We start from the raw sequence: 18,950 nt of genomic DNA, 5'->3' as shown, positions 1-18,950 counted from the left end.
GAGAGAGAGAGAGAGAGTCAGTCTCGCTCTGTTGCCCAGGCTGGAGTGCAGTGGTACAATCTCGGCTCACTGCAACCTTCCCCTCCCGGGTTCCTGTGATTCTCCTGCCTCAGCCTCCTGAGTAGCTGGGACTACAAGCGCGCACCACGACGCCCAGCTAATTTTTATATTTTTAGTAGAGACAGGGGTTTCACCATGTTGGTCAGGCTGGTCTCAAACTCCTGACCTCATGATCCGGCTGCCTTGGCCTCCAAAAGTGCTGGGATTACAGGTGTGAGCCATGGTGCCCAGCATTGAATATATTTTTTTACATCAAGATCTGATAACACACATACACTCATGCACACATACACAAACACACCTCAAATAAAAGTTTCTTGAAGCAGTACTTACTCAGTGTTTGAAGCACTGTCATATTTTCTGTTCTATTGTATTTCATTTTTTAAAAACACAGTAGGCCTGGTGTGGTGGCTCACGCCTATAGTCCCAGCACTTAGGGAGGCCAAGGTGGGTGGATCACGAGGTCAGGAGTTCAAGACCAGCCTGGCCAAGATGGTGAAACCATCTCTACTATAACTACAAAAATTAGCCGGGCATGGTGGCAGGTGCCTGTAATCCCAGCTACTAGGGAGGCTGAGGCAGAGAATTGCTTAAACCCGGGAGGCGGAGGTTGCAGTGAGCCAAGGTCGCGCCACTGCACTCCAGCCTGGGCAATGGAGCAAGACTCCATCTCAAAACAAAACAAAATAAAACAAAACAAAAAAAAACAAAACACAGTAATCCACTGAATTGGTTCCATGAATTGGTTCCCACTAATGGGGCACATGAGCTGTTGTTTGGAAAACACTTAGCATAGTGTTCAGAAGCTTTAGCATCAGAGAGACCCAGATTCAGACATCAGCTCTGTCTGAATCTAGCAGCACTTCCATGGAACTCAGTTTAAATGTACTTTTTATTCAATTTTTCAGGAAATTATTTATGCCAAAGAAAAAATACTTAAATGTATATTAATCAGTTAAAATTTTTTTCCTTAGATTAAATACACATATTATCCCACATCAGAAGTCACTGCCCTTCTTTACTTCAGCCTACACCTATTCTGTGGTTTCCCAGGAAAGGTACCCTGGAGTATCCAGAGTTGTAGAACCTCCTTTTCCCTGCCCACTGTATATGGCTTCTGCCTTGTTACAGTATATCTGGACGAGAGGAATGTATGGTTTTAACAAAGGTATAACTATGGATGGGAAAAGGCATATTCTTTATTGATTAGGCAAATGCTAGCTATTTTAATCTGTATCTCAAATAGCGAATTTGGATTTTTGAAGCTTAGGTTTGTTTCAGGAATTGTCCCAGAGCACTGCCTGTCTTTCCAGTTACAGTGCCGATCCTAAGTGGAAAAAATGGAAGTATATGAACAGACTAGATATTTTTAACTTTTCATTTATTGTAGTTAAGGGTTATGGGTTACTTTTACATAAATTACACTGGACTAGGAGTCAAAATAGTGTGAGTTCAAGTTCTGATTCTTCTGTGTTCTATACACATGAGTTGGGGCAAGTCATCAACCCTGTCTTTGTTGCCCACCATCTGCCTGTTTTAAGTTATAAGGCTATTTGGAAGTGCTTTTTAGAAATATAAGGTACTACTTATTCAAATTATTTGGCAACTTTTGGACTATCAAGAAGTGGCTGGTTTTGGAAAAGTGAATCTGTGTGTTACTGTTTCTTAAGACTTGAAAAATTTTCTCTGTGCATGTGAATTATGCATACAAGCTAAATGTATTCCCAGTATTTAGTAGAGGGCAGAATAAAATGTAAAGTTCAATGTATACTCTGGGGACTATGTTAAAATTATATATTCCTTTTAAGAAAAGCTGAATGACATTTAAATGACATTTTTCTGTTCTACAGGAACCAAAGGCAAATACCAAAGTAATTTGTAAGCGTTGCAAGGTAATGTTGGGAGAGACCGTGTCATCAGGTAAGAATTTCATAACAAGAAGCCAAAATGATTGGCTTCTTGCTTAAAAGCCAGAATGATATTTTATAGTAAATATATAGGAAAGATAGATGATTAATATATGTTGTGGAATTGGTGCTTTTCAAAATAGACCCCAAGTAACATACCATCCAATATACCAAGAAGTTTGTATATTTTGACCTTCATAAATACAGAGTATTGAATTTTAAGTATTAAGAAGTTGAGTCATTTTCAGAGTTTCATAGCCTCTTTGTAGATATAAAGCAATAGTATAAAGTTTGTTCTTGGGCCTATTTCAAGAAAATTGGAGCTTTTTTCTCTCTTTGTTTCCTTCTTTCTTCTTCTTCTTTTTTTTTTTTTTTTAATTTTACCTTCCTGGTAACTCACGAAACAGAGCTTTTTTCTTAATACACCTCCTCAGTTAGAAGAATTGGTGCCCAGAGATGGAGAAGTTGTTTTTCTTGGCTGCCATCTGGCTCGGGGCTGTATTTTGGGGCTGGGGATGGGAGAGGACCTGTTGAAATGGAAGAAAAAAAATTCCGAATTTTGTACTTTGTCCCTTATTCTTTTGGTTCCCCAGTAGCATTGATTATATTTTATGTAAACTCTGTTATACTACTTTAAAATATAATAATGAAAATCCTGATAATTAAAATGCATTGCTGTTTAAAGATATGGTTTATAGTGTCTAGAGAACTACAACATGCTGTGTTAGCTTTGGATGATGAATAATTACTTTTAATACAGTTAATTAGAAGATGTGATTTACATGAAGCAATTGTACTTAAGGGAAGGCAGATGATGGTATTTTTTGTTTATTTGTTTGTTTAATCGTCAAAATCTTGTAAGAAGTTACTTGTTCACAGTGAGCCAGAAAGGAAAAATGAGTTAGTAAAAGGTACCATCCTTAACGTCATTTTTGGAAAATGAAAGCAAGCCTCTGAAGCAACACCTTAGAAAAAGTTAAGCCTTCTGGTTAAATAAGGTGAATTGATTTTTAAATTATTTTCTCCCTGAAGTCCTGTTAAAATGTCAGTTAAGGAATGAAAAGATATATATCTACAAAGGCAAAGAGAAATGGAGAGGAGATGACAATGACATAAACAAGAGATGTAAACAAACTTTTTTGGAACACACTTGGCAGCCTGGAGGGAGCTGCAGCTTTGGTGTCTGTAGATCATTTGGATAAGGAGTGGGCCAATAATCTCTGTAGAGCCCCAAAACAAGTCAGAATTTGGAGGCAGCAGGTGACAGGGAAGGCAGTCTGAGGCAAGGGGCTGGAAGCAGGATGATTGGTTCAAAGTGTATATATACAGCTACTAGACTTCTAGGTTTCCCACTTCATTTTCAACTTGCTTCTGTAATCCTCAAGGTTGGAGATTGGAAGACCTCCCCCACACCCTTTTTTTTTGAATAATGGAAGAATACCAACTAGAGAAAAGACTTGCAGACACTGATTCTTTGGGGACATTCAACCAAAAATGAGGTTATGTCGTTGTTCAACAAAAATGAGGTTAAACTGAGCACAGTGGTGCATGCCTATAGTCCCAGCTACTTGGGAGGCTGAGGCAGGAGGGTCACTTGAGCCCAGGGGTTCAAGGCTGTGGTGCACTATTATTGCACCTATGAATAGCCACTGCACTTCAGCCTGGAGAACATAGGGAGACTCTATCTCTTAAAAAAAAAAAAAAAGAGAGAGCTTATATTCACTCATCCTACAGTCAACAAACCTTGTACCTATACCCAAGAACTTTCTCTCAGCATTTCACTGCCTTACACTAAAATTGAAATGAATTGTTGAGAATCACCAAATATTTGAGTAAATCAACAAAAAAGAAACCAAGGCAAATAAATGATTAAGCAAGCAAATTAAAAGCACTGAGAAGAAACACATTATGTATACAGCAGAAGTAAATCTTTAAAAAAAAAATGCCCTTGAAGAAATAAACTAATATTGCTTCCATAATTCAGAGAATGTGGAATTTAAAAATGTAATAGCTTCAGAAAAAAAAAATTAAAGAATTGGAAGATAAAAGTAAAGAATTAGGCCAGAAATTAAAACCAAAAGACAGAGATTGAAAATTAAAGAAGAGGCCGGGCACGGAGGCTCACGCCTGTAATCCCAGCACTTTGGGAGGCCGAGATGGGCAGATGACCTGAGGTCAGGAGCTCAAGACCAGCCTGGCCAACATGGTGAAACCCTGTCTCTACCAAAAATACAAAAATTAGCCAGACATGGTGACATGCACCTGTAATCCCAGCTACTAGGGAGGCTGAGGCAGGAGAATCGCTTGAACCCGGGAGGCAAAGATGGCAGTGAGCTAAGATCGTGCCACTGCACTCCAGCCTGAGCAACAGGGCAAGACTCCATCTCAAAAAAAAAAAAAAAAAAAAAGAAGTACAAAAAAATATATGTAATCAGTTAAGTTTCCTGAAGGTAGAGACATTGTCTATCTTGTCTATCCCTGTAATCTCAGCACTTAGTGTAATGTCTGGCACATAGTGAGTACCCAGTAAGTATTTGTTGAATGAATAAGTGAATTGAGCCTTTCAGGACAACCAACATCTAGCTTATAGAAATTCTAGAAAGAGAGAATAGAGACAACAGAATGTAGGAAATTATCCAATAACAAAAATACCAAAAATACAAGTCTATTTTCCAGAGCTAGGACTTCAGTTTCTTGACTGAAAGGGTCCACTAAGTACCCACTGTAATTAATAGAGGAATAGTAAGGAAGCCACTTCAGGCCACAACAGTGAATAATTTCAGAACACCAAGGATGAAGTTTGCAGAGGGAAAAAGGCAGTTAATATAAGACAGATTAAGAATTAGAATAGCATTGAACTTCTTAACAGCAGAGCTGAAAGCTAGAAGGCAGTGAAGCAGTGCCTTCATAATTTGAAAAGAAAAAGATTTCAGCCCAGAATTCTATACACAGTCGAGCTATCAGTCAAATATGAAAATAATAAAAGCCATTTTGCAAATAACAAAGTCTCAAAACACAATTCTCAAAGGTTTATTTTTCTTAGTAATTCACCATAAAATATAAATCATCTAAACTAGGGATTCAATCTAGGAAGAGATGACATGGAATTGGGTAACAAGGTGTACAATAAAGGAGAGCGGGATAAGGAAGTCCCAGGGTAAGGAGTGGGCAGCAGGACTACAGGATAGCAGCCTAGATTGAAGCAAATGGGAAAGAAGATTGCAATAAAGATTTTTTTTTTTTTTTTTGAGACATAGTCTCACTCTGTTGCCCAGGCTGGAGTGCAGTGGTGTGATCATGGCTCATGGCAGCCTCAACCTCCCGGGCTCAAGTGATCCTCCCATCTCAGCCTCCCAAGTAGCCGGGACCACAGGTGCATACCACCATGTCTGACTAATTTTTAATTTTTTGTAGAAGTGGGGTCTCCATATGTTGCCCAGGCTGATCTTAAACTCCAGGACTCAAGTGATCCTCCTGCCTCAGCCTTCCAAGTGCTGGGATTACAGGCATGAGCCAACATACCTGGCTGATTTTTTTTCTTTTTTTTTAGTTATAAAGTGGAATTGATAAATTATTTGATTTGTTTGATGTGTATTAGTCCATTTTCACACTGCTGTAAAGAACTACTTGAGACTGGGTAATTTGTAAAGAAAAGAGGTTTAATTGTCTCACAGTTCTATATGGCTGGGAAGGCCTCAGGAAACTTACAGTCATGGCAGAAGGCAAAGAAGCAGCAAGCACCTTCTTCATAAGGGGGCAGGAGAGAGAGAGCAGGGAATTGCCACACACTTTTAAACCTCAGATCTTGTGATAACTCTATCGTGAGACGGGGGAGATGGTGCTAAACCATTAGAGACCACCCCCATGATCCAATCACTTCCCACCAGGCCCCAACTTTAACACATGGGGATTACAACTTGACATGAGATTTGGGTGGGGACACAGAGCCAAACTAGATCAACATGTGACGACAGCTAATCTCGAGACAAACCATTTCATTATATGGAAAGAATTAGCTAAAAGGTGATTGAAGCAGTTATTCACTGCAGGAAGAAGAAAAAAGGTTGAACAAGAAAAGAAACATCTCCATGGTAGTATTATGGTAATAATAATGTAAACACTGAATATTCACTTAACTAAACATTGTAGTATGATACAAAAGTATATTAGAAGGTCAATATGTGTGAGTTTGTGTGTGGGGTGGTATAAGAGATCTATATCCACATCTGTTCTAAAAGTAAATCACTAGGATTCCACTTCCCAAAATAGTGTCATGAAGAGAATGGGCAATTTTATTCTGTAGAAAACATGTACAAAACTGGACAATTTTAAAAATTAATAAGAACCATATTAGGGCACTAGAAAATGAACAAAAGTGAAGCAACAATTTGAGAACTATTTAAGTAGTGGAAAACTGCTACTATATTGGGAAAGAATAGCAAGTTTGTAATTTTGTTTTGCCTGGGGAGGCAGACGGACCTTGTCACCTTATATCTTCCCAACTTAGGCAGGAAAAGCCCACAGCTTTACTGTCTATACATGGTGGGTTTGGTTTAGGGTAGGTGGTGGAGAAAGTAGAAATTTTAAGGAGGATATTTTGGAAGCAAAGTGATTGTATTAGTCCCTTCTCCATTGCTATAAAGAAATACCCAAGACTGGGTAATTTATAAAGAAAATAGAGGTTTAATTGGCGTATGGTACTGCAGCCTATACAGGAAGCATAGCAGCTTCTGGTTTGGGGGAGGCCTTAGGAAACTTACAATCATGGCACAAAACAGGAGGAGTGAGGCATCTCACATAGTGGAAGCAGTAGCAAGAGAGAATGAAGGGAGGTGCTACACACTTTTAAACTAGTGGATCTTGTAAGAAGTCACTCACTCACCATCATGAGTACAGCACCAAGGGGATGGTGCTAAACCATTCATGAAGGACCCACCGCCATAATCCAGTCACCTCCCACCAGGTCCCACCTCCAACATTAGGGATTACAATTCAGCAGGAGATTTGGGTGGGGACACAGCTCCAAACCATATCAGTGATATAGTTCTGATGTTTGTCTCCTTTAAATCTCATAAAATAATAAAATATAATCCCCAATTTACAATAATAAAATGTAATCTCCAATTTTTGAGGTAGAGTGTGGTGGGAGGTGTTTGTGTCAGGGGGCAGATCCCTCATGAATGTCTTGGTGCTGTCCTCATGATCATGAGGGAATGCCTATGAGATCTGGTTTTTTAAAAGTGTGTAACACCTCTCCCCTCTCTCTCTCATCCCTGCTTTCACCATGTGAGACACCTTGCTCCTTCTTTGCCTGCCACCATGATTGTCAGGTTCCCAAGGTCCTTACCAGAAGCCAAGCAAATGCTGGAGGCTTGCTTGTACAGCCTGGAGAACCATGAGACAATGAAACTGTATTAGTCTGTTCTCATGCTGTTAATAAACACATACCCAAGACTGGGAAATTATAAAGAAAAAGGTTTAATAGACTCACAGTATCACATGACTGGGGAGGCCTCACAATCATGGCAAAAGGTGAAGGGGGACAAAGACACTTCTTATATGGCATTAGGCAACAGAGCATGTGCAGGGGAACTGCCCTTTATAAAACCATCAGGTCTTGTGAGAGTTATTCACTATCACAAGAACAGGACAGGAAAACCCCGCCCCCATGATTCAGTTAATTCCCACCAGGTCCCTTCTATGACACCTGGGGATTATGGGAGCAACAATTCAAGATGAGATTTGGGTGGGGACACAGCCAAACCATATCATTCTGTCCCTGGCTGCTCCCAAATCTCATGTCCTCACATTTCAAAACCAAGCCTTCCCAACAATCCCCCAAAGTCTTAACTCATTTCAGCATTAACTGAAAAGTTCAAGTCCAAAGTCTCATCGGATACAAGGCAAGTCCCTTCCACCTATGAGACTTTAAAATCAAAAACAAGTTAGGTACTTCCTAGATACAATGGGGGTACAGGCATTGGGTAAATACACCCATTCCAAATAGGAGAAATTGGCCAAATCAAAGGGGCTAAAGGCCCCATGCAAGTCTGAAATCCAGCAAAGTAGTCAAACCTTAAAGCTCCAAAATGATCTCTTTTGACTTCATGTCTCACATCCAGGTCATGCTGATGCAAGAGGTGGGCTCCCATGGCCTTGAACAGCTCTGTTCCTGTGGTTTTGCCGGGTACGGCCCCACCCAGCTTCTTTCATGGGCTGGTGTTGAGGTACTGTGGCTTTTCTAGGCATACGGTGTAAGCTGTCTATGGATCTATCATTCTGGGGTCTGGAGGATTGTGACCCTCTTCTCACAGCTCCACCAGGCAGTGCCACAGTGGGGACTCTACATGGGAGCTCCCACCCCACCTTTCCCTTCTGCACTGCCCTAACAGAGGTTCTCCATGAGGGCTGCGGCCCTGCAGCACACCTCTGCCTGGACATCCAGGCGTTTCCATACAGTCTCAGAAATCTTGGTGGAGGTTCCCAAACCTCAACTCTTGACTTCTGTGCACCCACAGGCTTGTCACCACATGGAATTTGCCAAGGTTTGAGGCTTGTACCCTCTGAAGCCGGGGCCCGAGCTGTACCTTGGCCCCTTTTAGCCATGGCTAGTGCGGCTGGGACACGGAGCACCAAGTCCCTAGGCTGCACACAGCAGGAAACCATTTTTTCCCTCTAGGCCTCCAGGCCTGTGATGGGAGGGGCTGCTGCAAAGGTCTCTGACCTGCCCTGAAGTCACTTTCCTCATTGTCTTAGTGATTTACATTTGGTTCCTTGTTACTTACGCAAATTTCTGCAGCAGTGTAAATTCAAGCAGGCTTGACTGTAACGCCCCATGGAAGTCCGAAATCCAGCAAAGCAGTCAAATCTTAAAGCTCCAAAATGATCTCCTTTGACTTCATGTCTCACAGCCAGATCACACTGATGCAAGTGGCTTGAATTTCTCCTTTGACTTCATGTTTCACATCCAGGTCACGCTGATGCAAGATGCAAGCAGGCTTGAATTTCCCCCCAGAAAATGGGTTTTTCTTTTCTACCTAATCGTCCAGCTACAAATTTTCCAAACTTTTATGCTCTGTCACTTCTTGAATGCTTTACTGGTTAGAAATTTCTTCCGCCAGGCTGGGTATGGTAGCTCATGCCTGTAATCCCAACACTTTGGGAGGCCGAGGCAGGTGGATCACTTGACGTCAGGAGTTCAAGACCAGCCTGGTCAAAATGGTGAAACCTTGTCTCTACCAAAAAATACAAATATTAGCCAGGCATATTGGTGCACGCCTGTAGGCCCAGCTACTTGGGCGGCTGAGGCATGATAATCACTTGAATTTGGGAGGCAGAGGTTGCAGTGAGCTGATATCGCACCACTGCACTCCAGCCTGGGCAACAGAATGAGACCCGGTTTCAAAAAAAAAGGAAGAAATTTCTTCCACCAGATACCCTAAATCATCTCTCTCAAGTTCAAAGTTCCACAGATATCTAGGGCAGGGACAAAATACTGCCAGTCTCTTTCCTAAAGCATAACAAGAGTCATCCTTGCTCCAGTTCCCAACAAGTTCCTCATCTCTATCTGAGACCACCTCACCCTGGACTTTATTTTCCATATCACTATCAGCATTTTGGCCAAAACCATTCAACAAGTCTCTAGGAAGGTTCAAACTTTCCCCCATTTCCTATCTTCTGAGCCCTCCAAGTCTCTAGGAAGTTTCAAACTTTCCCACATTTTCCTGAGCCCTCCAAACTGTTCCAACCTCTGCCTGTTACCCAAATTCCAAAGTCGCTTCCACATTTTCCAGTATCCTTGCAGCAACACCCCACTCTACTAGTACCAATTTACTGTATTAGTCCGTTCTCATGCTGCTAATAAAGACACACCTGAGACTGGGTAATTTATAAAGAAAAAGAGGTTTAATGGACCCACAGTTCCACATGGCTGAGGAGGCCTCACAATCATGGCACAAGGTGAAGGAGGAGGAAAGGCAGGTCTTACAGGGTAGCAGGCAAGAGAGCTTGTGCAGGGGAACTGTCTTTTATAAAACCATCAGATCTCATGAGACTTATTCATTATCATGAGAACATGATATGGGAAAAACATGCCCCCATGGTTTAATTACCTCCCACTGGGTCCCTCCCATGATACATGGCAATTATGGGAGCTACAGTTTAAGATGAGATTTGGGTGGAGACATAGCCAAACCATATCAGAAACGTCTTTTTTTTTTAATTTTAATTACTCAGCCTCAGGTATTTATAGCAATGCAAAAACCACCTGCTGCACAAAGGGTGATAGAAGGGCTGAGATAACTTCTCTGCCCTAACACAACTCTGGCTGACTGCTAAACTCTGCATACACACAAAAAATGGCAGGGAGTATCTATTATATGTATTTTCAGTAAGGATTGAAAGCTTAGGGGGACCTGTGAATTTGCTGTGACTTTGATTGCATTCCTCAATCCACATACAACTTGGGTAGCAGAAGGTAATTTTCGTAAGAAGCCTTACTGGCTTGAGGTGTTTGAGTAGAGCCTTGCCCCAAATTATTTGCTGACAGCTAACCTATGCAGGTACAGTGGATACTTGCTAGGGAGCCAGACTAAAAAAAAATTAAAACTGAGTAGAGACATTAGTGGCTACATACTGTGGGGAGATACATTTCACAGTTCGAGTCCAGGCCAGTCAATTGACTGCTATCCCAACCAATAACCAACAACCTTCAGAAGAGCAACACAAAATCCACAGTTGCTACAACATATTGCACACAATGTCCTGCTTCTGTCTAAAAATTATTAGATGTGCAAAGAAACAGAAAATAATGTTTCATACTCAAGAAAAAAAGGTCTTAATAAGCAGGTACTTAGTAAGCACAGATATTCAATTGAGCAGACAAACATGTGGAAGCAGCTATTATAAATATGGCAAATAACTTTTTAAGAAAAGCTTTGAACAGATAGCAAATCTCAATAAATTAGAAAAATCAAAGAAAAATAATTTGGTAATTCTAGAATTAAAATGTACTGTAACCGTAAAGAAAAATTCACTAGATGATCTAAAGCACAGATCTGAGATGACAAAAGATAAAAAAAATTATTGAACTTACAGATTAATCCAAATTAACCAAACAAAAAAAGTCTAAAACAAAATGAACAGAACTTCCAGTTTGTGGGACAATATCAGGTGTTCCAACAAATGTGTAAATAGGGTCTCAAATAATGAAGAGAAATTGAAAGGGTCAGAAAAAAAATTTATACAAAAAACTGGCTGAAAACTTGGCAAATTATTTTAAAAATATTGGCTTTCAGATCTAAGAATTTCAATGAACCTGTAGTAGGATAAACACAAAAACACTTCACTCAGGCATGTTGTCGTCAATCTGTTGAAAGATTAAGAGAGAATCTTTAAAGTAAAAAGAGAAAAACAAAACCTCATATGTAAGAGATTTCCTAATACAATTAAGGTGAACTTCTAATAGAAATAATGACAACCAAAAGACACTGAAATAAGATATGTGAAGTGCTGGGGGGAAAAAGATGTGACAACCAACAGTACTGTATCTAGCATAACTATCACTCAAAAATGAAGGCAAAATAAGGATGTTTCCAAATAAATACATGGAAATAATGGATTCCTATCGTACCTGCTGTACAAGAAATGATAAAGGAAGTTCTTCAGGCTGACACGAAAGATACCAGATGGTAACTGGAAACTACAGGAAGGAATAAAAATCAGGGAAAATGGAAAATAATGTGGGTAAATTACCAGAAAAGCAGACTCAAAAGAGGTAAGCACAAAATTCAAGCCACATTTTCTTTGCAGTTTGCCCATTCTCTAAAATTAGAACTTTAGTTTCGAGAAGGACAAAAATGAGAGACTACTCAAGAGGAGAACCTCACAAAAATAGGAGACGCTAAATGTTGTGCCCTCACAGTGAGGGTGAATTGGAAATAGAACAGCCCTGTGGAATTGTAGACAGAGATCAATCCTTTGGGACTTGAGGGAATTTCAAGTCTTGAACTTTGTTTATTTCACCTTGTTCTAGACATTTGCCAGGTGCCTGGCAAAATCACCTTTGTAAGGAAATATCTTCATTGTAAAACTCATTCTCACAAATAATTTTTTAGGTATAGTATTCACCATGCAACCAAAGATAAATAGGCACACAAGTAAACTAGACTTCCACCAACAAGAATTAAATCAAATAGACTTCTTATTGGAATTGTGTGTAAACTGTAAAACAACCATGCTTAGCATATTTAGCAAAATGAAAGGTGTGAAGGTAGCTGAAAGGAAAAGGAAACTATAACAGTAAGTTATATAAATTAAACAATAAATTTATACAATAAAATTTCTTAAAAAGTGTTATAATTGATATTAAAAACTCAGCCAGTGGTTTAACACCAGATTAGATACAACTTGAAGAGAGAATTAACGAGCAAAAGATAGATGACAAGAAAAACCTGCTGTGTAGCACAGAGAGACAAAAGGCAAAAAATATAGAAGAGAGAGTAAGAGACGTAGAACAGACTATCTGATGTATGTTTAATCAGACTTCCAGGAGGAAAAGAATGGAGCATGGGCAATATTTGAAGAGATAATTGTTGAGAATTTTACAAAAGTGATGAAGAATAGCAATCTATAGATTCAAGGGACCCAGTGAATTCCAATTCGGCAAAGCCCTAGCAAGAAAAATAAAAAGAAATCCATACTTAGACACATGCGAGTAATACTGTAGAATAAAAAGTGAAGATAATCTTAAATGCAGCTAAAGAAAAAATGACAGAGTGCCTTCAAAGGAACAGCAGTAATGGAAGTCTGAAGACGGTAGAACAATATTGCCAATGTGTGCAAATAACTGTTGATCCTAGGACTTAATCTCAAGTGAAAATTTCCTTCAAGAATTAAGGCTAAGATAAATATGTTTTCTGACAAACACAAACTAGGTTAATCTAGGTTAATTCAATACTAGTGGTTTCTTTTTTTTTTTTTTTTTTTTTTTTTTTGAGACGGAGTCTCGCTCTGTCGCCAGGCTGGAGCACAGTGGTGCGGTCTTGGCTCACTGCAACCTCCGCCTCCTGGGTTCAAGCGATTCTCCTGCCTCAGCCTTCCAAGTAGCTGGGATTACACACATGCACCTCCACGCCCGGCTAATTTTTGTATTTTTAGTAGAGATGGGGTTTTACCATGTTGGCCAGGCTGGTCTTGAACTCCTGACCTTGTGATCCTCCCGCCTCAGCCTCCCAAAGTGCTGGGATTACAGGCGTGAGCCACTGCGCCCAGCCCATAGTGGTTTCTTATGAAAAGAAATTGTACCTGTACTCAGGTAGAAGAAAATGATCCCACATAGAAGATCTAAGTTCAATAAGGGTTGATAAAATCGTGAATATTCACATAACACTTAAATGAATATTAACTATAAAACAATAGAAATAATACTTGTGGGATTAAAATAATATAATTAAATTTTAGATTAACAACACATGAAATAAAAAGGGTCACTTCTGCTTTGGGAGGCGGAGATGAGAGGATCCCTTGAGACCGGCCTAGGCAACATAGTGAAACCTGGTCTCTACAAAAAATTAACTGGGCATAGTGGTGCATGCCTGTAGTGCTAGCTACTCAGGAGGCTGATGCGGAAGGATCACTTAAGCCCAGGGGTTCGAGGTACAGTGAGCTGTGATCACACCACTGCACCCTAATTGGGCAACAGGGCAAGACCCTGTCTTAAATAAGTAAATAAATAAATACATAGGCATTTCATAAAGTTAAAAAGGTTTAGTTTAGTCCTGCGTGTAATAACGATTTCAAAATAGTAAATATTGACACATCTTCAATGATAAATGGGTAAATCTGTCATGGCTGTCTATATATTAATCTATGAAACCATTTATTTTTTTTACCTTTCTGTGTGTAATATTGAGCAATTACACACTTTTTCAAAAAATAACTTTGTCTTATTAAAAGTTGTTTGACAACACTATTTTATTTTATTTTTTAAGAGATGGGATCTTACTCTGTCTCTCAGGCTGGAGCGCAGTAGTTCATTGAAGCCTCAGACTTCTGGGCTCAAACAGTCCTCTTGCCTCAGCCTCCCGAGTAGCTGGAACTACAGGCACATGCCACTCTGCCTGGCTAATTTTTAAAAGAATTTTTTGTAGAGACAGGCTGTCACTTTGTTGTCCAGAATGGTCTCAAACTCCTGGGCTTGAAGTGATCGTCCTGCCTTGGCCTTCCAAAGTGCTGGGATTAAGTATGAGCCACTGTACCTGGGCAACACCACCATTTTTAATGACAGCCTCATTTTTAATTATTTCTGGTTTGAATTTGACCTATTTAAAATTTGAAACATGCATGCAGTTATGTTGCCTGAATATTTAACCCATCCTCAATTTTTAGACATTTGTTTTCAGTATTTTTCTATTGATATTATGAGTATCACTATAGATAAGTGTTTTCATATACCAGTGAGTATTTTTTTGAAATAAATTCTTATATGTTTAATTATGGTGCCACAATACATACACAATTTTTCTTTTTTTTTTTTTTTTTTTTTTTAAGATGGAGTCACGTTCTGTCGCCCAGGCTGGAGTGCAGTGGCACGATCTCGGCTCACTGCAACATCTGCCTCCTGGTTTCAAGCAATTATCCTGCCTCACCCTCCCGAGTAGCTGGGACTACAGGTGGGAGTCACTGCGCCCAGCTAATTTTTGTATTTTTAGTAGAGACAGGGTTTCACCATGTTGGCCAGGCTGGTCTCAAACGCCTGACCCCAGGTGATCTGCTCGCCTCAGCCTCCCAAAGTGCTGGGATTACAGGCGTGAGTCACTGCACCCAGCCCTACATATACAATTTTAAGGCCTTTGCCAAGTGGCTTTCCGGAAGTCTGTCATTTTCTGTTCTCACAGCAGTGTGTGAATAAGCATATCCATCTATATAAATAAGCGTATCCAGCAGTACACCTTATCATTTTAAAATATTTTGTTTGATGCAAAAAAAAAAAATCTTATTTTGATGTACATTTTCTTCATCGTTAGTGAGATTAAACTTTTTCTTAGATTTTTTTAGAACTCCAAGATGATTGTGTTTACATTTATGTCTATTAAATTTCTATTTAAATTTTTCTGTAAGCAATCAGATAACCAGATTTAGTGAGAATTGTATATCAATAGAGTCATTGAGATTCTGGGTAGATTCTAATGTGAGGTTCACCGCATCTGTGTTTTGGGATGCTGTGATTAAAAACCCCTTTTCAGGTAGGAGCACTGGAACATCAAAGGCAAGGTAGGTGTGGTTAGTGTAATGGACAGAAAGCAAGGCAACAATTGGAATAATCTGAGTTATTCAGTTATATGATGTTTGCTAGTTGATCATGGTGTTGTCTAGAAGTGAATTAGATAGCAAGCCTGCTAAAATCTTACTTGATTTGTATAAGAAAGTTCTATGTCAAGTGAATAAAAGTCGAGCTTGAATCATAAAAACAGAGAGTCCTGGCCCCTCAATCAATTCTCACACTTGAGCCTTTGTAGGCCCAGGACCCCTTGAATGAAGGAGAGGACAGATGCCCTCAACGAAAAACGATGCTACCTGAAATTTATACCGTTAATCTTTCTCCCAGGCTTCCACAAAGGGAACCATGGCCTTTCTCAGGGTAACAGTTCCCCATGCGCACTGGGGAAAAGGAAATAATCACACCTTTTAGGGACTGCTGGACACTGGTTCTAAATGAACACCAATTCTAGAAGACCCAAAACATCACTGTGGCCTTCCAATTAGAGTAGGGGATGGGGTCAGGTGATCAATAGAGTTTTAACTCAGGTCCATCTCACGGTGGGTCCAGTGGATCCCTGAATGCTTCCTGTGATTATTCCCGAATTCCAGAGTGCTTAACTCAAATTAACACACTTAGCAGCTGGCAGAATCCCCACGTTAGTTCCCCAAAGTGTGTATTGAGGCTATTATGGTAGAAAAGACCAAGTGGAAGCCATTAGAACTGCCTTTATCTGGGAAAATAGTACATCAAAACCAAAAACAAACCAGAAGTCTTTTTCATTGACTTACAGGTTTGTAGCTATTCTGTAGAATTGAGGAAACCCAGTGACTAATTTCTATCTAAGTGCACTATGCCTGTGATGTGACTAACTTTTATAATCTTCCATATGTGTAAGCAGAGTCTCTGGGCATTATTTTCTAAAAAGACACAGAAGCTTCAGAACTATCTCCTTGTAGTGACCAATGCTTTGTCTTCTGAAACTAAGTAGTTTTGGGAAAATGTTTACAGAATATTAATTTTACCAGTATATTTAATATTTAGTTTGGAATATCCTAATTTGGAGTCAACTTGCCCACAATAAAATTATTAGTGTATTGGGGAGAGTCTTAATTTTCTTTTTTGTTTCTAGAAACCACCAAGTTTTATATGACAGAGATAATTATTCAGTCATCTGAGAGGAGTTTTCCTATCATACCAAGGTACAAATAGCAAATTACATTTATTTATTTGTAATTTATTTTTTTCCCCATTCAGACCTTTATTTTTTATTTTTTGGTTTTGAATTTATTTTTTATTTTAATAGGTTTTTGGGAACAGATGATGTTTGCTTACATGAATAGTGATAATTTCTGAGATTTGGGTGCATCCATCACACAAGCACTGTTCACTGTACTCAAGTGTAGTCTTTTATCTCTTACCCCTCCCCCTGCCTTTTCTCCAAGTCCTCAAAGTCCATTGTATTATTCTTATGCCTTTGCATCCTCATAGCTTCGTTCCCACTTATGAAGGAGAACATACGATGTTTGGTTTTCCATTCCTGAGTTACTTCACTTAGAATAATAGTCTCCAGTTACATCCAGGATGCTGTGAATGCCATTATTTCGTTCCTTTTTGTGGCTAAGTAGTATTCCATGGCATATATTTGTAATTCCAAATGTAGGAAAAAGGAAGTACAATTGATCATATGGGAATTCATTTTTATTCATACCTTTCTTTATTTGGAAAAGGAAAGAGAAAGCCTTTTTGATAGTTGAACCAAACCACACATATAAAAGTTTTGAGGATTTTAAAAAATGTTTTGATCATATAGTGCTGTAGACAAATGTGCTCTTATAAATCTTCTAATTCTGAAAGTTTTCTATGCTTATTTCTATGTGCCAGATATCTAGAATCTTATCACCCAGTCACCAATAAGTTTTTTGAATAATTTCTGGTTTTAATTTGAATTATTTAAAATTTGAAACATGGGTCAGTTTCAAATGACTCCTATGTTTTAAAAACATGGTACTTAGTCACTAAATCTATTAGTGTTTTTATTTCTTTGACTCTTTAGTTTGCAAACAAGTTAACCATGATATGTCTTTATTCCAGTTTATTTGTTGATATCCAAAAATTATAGCAATCTTTGAGTATAGCCTTGAACTTATCCTTATGTAAATACTTTGATTCTGTACCTCAGAGCTGACACTTTAGGGAGATCCAAATGGAAGAAAATGTAGACAATACTGTCTGATGTTTGGAAGGAAATTTCTTGCCTTCTTTTGTAAGTTAGTTATTCTCTGTTTAATATGCTACAGCACAAATGGAGTATTGACTTGTTCTAACATGGTATTTTTTTATTCAGTAGGGGTGAATAGTTAGGTTTGGTGTGGAAAGTGTATCAAGGATTGGAGAATAGGTTTTAAGAAGAATGGAGCAAACCTGAATACATTAAAATATATTAAAATCCACATCAGTGCAGATTCTGAGGGAATGAGCAGTCCGTAGAAAAGTCTGGCATGTGGATATGTCTGCCTTTTAGGTACCGTGTGTGTATTTTTTGCTTATCTTGCCAGTTAGAGTTATTATGAGATACACATTGTAAAAATTGATTTCTGTTCAAACAGGTCTTGGTTTGTCCAGAGCGTGATCGCCCAGTGTCTGGTGCAGCTCTCCTCTGCTAGAAGCACTTTTAGATTCACGATTCAAGGTCAGGATGACAAAGTGTATATCTTGGTAAGAAATTATTTTATCCAGCTTTTTGTAGCCTAGGAATCCAAGGTCTCAGAATTCTTCAGTTTTTTCATCCTTTTTTCTTAATTCTCAGGTGTGGAAAATAAGTGATTAAAAATGTTAATATCAGGCTGGGCACGGTGGCTTATGCCTGAAATCCCAGCACTTTGGGAGGCCAAGGTGGGTGGATCACTTGAGGTCAGGAGTTCGAGACCAGCCTGGCCAACATGGGGAAACCCCATCTCTACTAAAAATACAAAAATTAGCCTGACATGGTGGCCCATGCCTGTAGTCTCAGCTACTCAGGAAGCTGTGGCAGGAGAATCGCTTGAACTCAGGAGGTGGAGGTTGCATTGAGCCAAGATGGTGCCGCTGCACTCAAGCCTGGGTGACAGAGCAAGACTCCATCTTAAAAAAAAAAAAGTTAATATCAGTTTAATTCATAAATCAAACTCCTTTATTTTAATAACAGATGATCAAGTGCCTCTATGTACTAGGTACTACGGATACAGAGAAAAATCCTGATTCCTGCTATTTAGAAGCTCATACCACAAAATCAGGGTTTTTTTGTTTTTTGTTTTTTTTTTGAGATGGAGTATCACTCTGTCGCTCAGACTGGAGTGCAGTGGCGTGATCTCAGCTCACTGCAAGCTCAGCCTCCTGGGTTCATGCCATTCTTCTGCCCCAGTCTCCCGAGTAGGTGGGACTACAGGCGCCCGCCACCACGCCCGGCTAATTTTTTTGTATTTTTTTAGTAGAGACGGGGTTTCACCATGTTAGCCAGGATGGTCTCGATCTCCTGACCTCGTGATCCACCCACCTCGGCCTCCCAAAATGCTGGGATTACAGGCATGAGCCACCACGCCCAGCCAAAATCAAGTTTTTTACTCTCAGTTTGTAATGGCTTTTTTGGGGTCACTATAACACTATTCTGTCCCACTTTTTTTTTTTTCCTATTTAGTACTCTTATGTTTAGAATATGTCCTATTGCTCCTGTTTGTTTTTTGTTT

The 18,950-nt window shown here is 39.4% G+C and overlaps 1 protein-coding gene across 17 annotated transcripts in view, besides 1 other annotated feature; it reads left to right on the top strand.

The window, feature by feature from the left end:
• The window catches only part of UBE3D (ubiquitin protein ligase E3D), a 185,040-nt gene that overhangs the window by 25,446 nt on the left and 140,644 nt on the right, over positions 1-18,950 (top strand). For 11 of the 17 annotated variants that reach the window (XM_017011458.3, NM_001304437.2, NM_001350603.2 and 8 more), the window contains 3 exons: positions 1,911-1,980; positions 16,358-16,427; positions 17,835-17,943. In XM_017011458.3, the coding sequence (XP_016866947.1) occupies positions 1,911-1,980; positions 16,358-16,427; positions 17,835-17,943 (249 nt within the window). Of the gene's footprint in view, positions 1-1,910; positions 1,981-8,089; positions 8,195-14,516; positions 14,639-16,357; positions 16,428-17,572; positions 17,728-17,834; positions 17,944-18,950 lie in introns of those variants that run through there. The other 6 variants (NR_146809.2, NM_001410933.1, NR_146808.2 and 3 more) reach the window with 5 other exon arrangements.
• Positions 1,264-2,463: an enhancer, noted in NCBI's record as "CDK7 strongly-dependent group 2 enhancer chr6:83747652-83748851 (GRCh37/hg19 assembly coordinates)". NCBI's record gives its function as "activates an origin of replication core promoter dependent on BRD2, BRD4, P300/CBP, MED14 and CDK7 cofactors, with strong dependence on CDK7, by STARR-seq in HCT116 cells {active_cell/tissue: HCT116}" and the evidence as "EXISTENCE:reporter gene assay evidence [ECO:0000049][PMID:35650434]".

The sequence above is a fragment of the Homo sapiens genome, chromosome 6, assembly GCF_000001405.40.
Source record: "Homo sapiens chromosome 6, GRCh38.p14 Primary Assembly".
NCBI classification, from domain to species: Eukaryota; Metazoa; Chordata; class Mammalia; order Primates; family Hominidae; genus Homo; species Homo sapiens.
This window is presented reverse-complemented; position numbering and strand designations above follow the sequence as displayed.